The sequence below is a fragment of the Homo sapiens genome, chromosome 15, assembly GCF_000001405.40.
Source record: "Homo sapiens chromosome 15, GRCh38.p14 Primary Assembly".
NCBI classification, from domain to species: domain Eukaryota; kingdom Metazoa; phylum Chordata; class Mammalia; order Primates; family Hominidae; genus Homo; species Homo sapiens.
The window spans coordinates 38,571,804-38,574,708 of record NC_000015.10 but is presented as its reverse complement, the minus strand read 5'-3'; positions in this window follow the sequence as shown (position 1 = coordinate 38,574,708).

Genomic DNA, 2,905 nt, shown 5'->3' with positions numbered 1-2,905 from the left:
AAGATCCAGTCATGCAGGTACATGATGTTAAAAAGTTTGCACTTTATTCTGTAGGCAATTGGAGACTCCTAGGCAGTTTAGAAGCAAAAGAATTATGTGACCATGTACATGAAAGAAGCAACATGAAAGAAGAATCAGAGAAAAGGAGGTTATGTAATTAGGGACGCCAGTTACAAAGCTATTACACATGTCCAGGTAAGAGATGATGGGGGCTTAGACCAGCATGTGGCTTTAAAGATGGAGAGGAAGCCCTTGGGAACAATGAAAGGAGGTGGTGGTTGAAAATGTGGGTCTAAATGCTAGGTGACAAAGGTGGATATTCGGACAGAAGAGTCATATAGGTCCTGCTGAGGCCATGGGAGAAAATTAAAACACCTACTTTGAGTAACGGATCATTTAGAAAATCTGAAGAAAGCTAACAACCCTTCCCCCAGAAAAAACATACACAAAAATTTAGATATAGTTTCAGAAGCTTCACATATAGTATAGTCCCTTCTCCCCAGTTAATCTCCTCATGGACATTAATTAAGAGTCCATGATTGAGAGAAGGAAGAATAACAAAGAAAGCATCCAGAGGAAGGGCCTCACCCAAGGGGTGAGAAGAGGAAGACTCCCCAACCAGACACCTAGGAAAAATAGAAGAGAGGGTAAATGAGGGTACAAGATAACACACTTGGGTGGCTGGCAAGATGGCCAAATAGGAACAGCTCTGGTCTGCAGCTCCCAGCGAGATCAACACAGAAGGCACATGATTTCCGCATTTCCAACTGAGGAAACTGGCTCATCTCATTGGGACTGGTTAGACAGTGGGTGCAGCCCACGGAGGGCGAGCCAAAGCAGGGTGGGGCATCACCTCACCAGGGAAGTGCAAGGGGCCAGGGAACGCCCTCCCTAGCCAAGGGAAGCTGTGAGGGATTGTGCCATGAGGAATGGTACACTCTGGCCCAGATACTACACTTTTCCCACAGTCTTTGCAACTCGCAGACCAGGAGATTCCCTCAGGTGCCTATGCCACCAGGGCCCTGGGTTTCAAGCACAAAACTGGGCAGCCATTTGGGCAGACACTGAGCTAGCTGCAGGAGTTTTTTTTTTCATACCCCAGTGGCACATGGAATGCCAGTGAGACAGAACCATTCACTCCCCTGGAAAGGCGTCTAAAGCCAGGGAGCCAAGTGGTCTAGCTCAGCGTATCCCACCCCCACAGAGCCCAGCAAGCTAAGATCCACTGGCTTGAAATTCTCGCTGCCAGCCCAGCAGTCTGAAGTCAACCTGGCACACTCAAGCTTGGTGCGGGGAGGAGCATCTGCCATCACTGAGACTTGAGTAGGCCGTTTTCCCCTCACAGTGTAAATGAAGCCGCTAGGAAGTTCGAACTGGGCAGAACCCACTGCAGCTCCACAAAGCCTCTGTAGCCAGACTGCCTCTCTAGATTCCTCCTCTCTGGGCAGGGCATCTCTGAAAGAAAGGCAGCAGCCCCAGTCAGGGGCTTATAGATAAAACTCCCATCTCCCTGGAACAGAGCACCTGGGGGAAGGGGTGGCTGTGGGCCTCCTCCTGGCTCTGAAGAGAGCAGTGGATCTCTAGCACAGTGTTTGAGCTCTGCTAAGGGACAGACTGCCTCCTCAAGTGGGTCCCTGACCCCTATGCCTCTTGACTGGGCGACACCTTCCCGCAGGGGTCGACAAACACCTCATACAGAAGAGCTATGGCTGGCATCTGGCAGGTGCCCCTCTGGGACAAAGCTTCCAGAGAAAGGAACAGCCAGCAATCTTTGTTGTTCTGCAGCCTCTGCTGGTGATACGCAGGCAAACAGGGTCTGGAGCGGACCTCTAGCAAACTCCAGCAGACCTGCAGCAGAGGGGCCTGACTGTTGGAAGGAAAACTAACAAAGAGAAAGGAATAACATCAACATGAACAAAAAGGATGTCCACACCAAAACCCCATCCAACAGTCACCAGCATCAAAGACCAAAGGTAGATAAATCCATGAAGATTAGGCAAACCAGCACAAAAAGGCTGAAAATTCCAAAAACCAGAATGCCTCTTCTCCTCCAAAAGATCACAACTCCTCACCAGCAAGGGAACAAAACTGGATAGAGAATGAGTTTGACGAATTGACAGAAGTAGGTTTCAGAAGGTGGGAAATAACAAACTACTCCAAGATAAAGGGGCATGTTCTAACCCAATGCAAGGAAGCTAAGAACCTTGAAAAAAGGTTAGATGAATTGCTAACTAGAATAAACAGTGTAGAGAAGAATGTAAATGACCTGATGGAGCTGAAAAACACAACACGAGAACTTCGCGAAGCATACACAAGTATCAATAGCTGAATCAATCAAGTGGAAGAAAGGATATCAGAGACTGAAGATCAACTTAATGAAATAAAGCATGAAGACAAGATTAGAGAAAAAAGAATGAAAAGGAATGAACAAAGCCTCCAAGAAATATGGGACTATGTGAAAAGACCAAACCTACATTTGATTGGTGTACCTGAAAGTGACGGGGAGAATGGAACCAACTTGGAAAACACTCTTCAGGATATTATCCAGGAGAACTTCCCCAACCTAGCAAGACAGGCCAACATTCACATTCAGGAAATATAGAAAATGCCACAAAGATACTCCCTGAGAAGAGCAACCCCAAGACACATAATCATCAGATTCACCAAGGTTGAAATGAAGGAAAAAATGTTAAGGGCAGCCAGAGAGAAAGGTCGGGTTACCCTCAAAGGGAAGCCCATCAGACTAACAGTGGATCTCTCTGCAGAAACTCTACAAGCCAGAAGAGAGTGGGGGCCAATATTCAACATTCTTAAAGAAAAGAATTTTCAACGCAGAATCTCATATCCACACAAACTAAGCTTCATAAGTGAAGGAGAAATAAAATCCTTTACAGACAAGCAAATG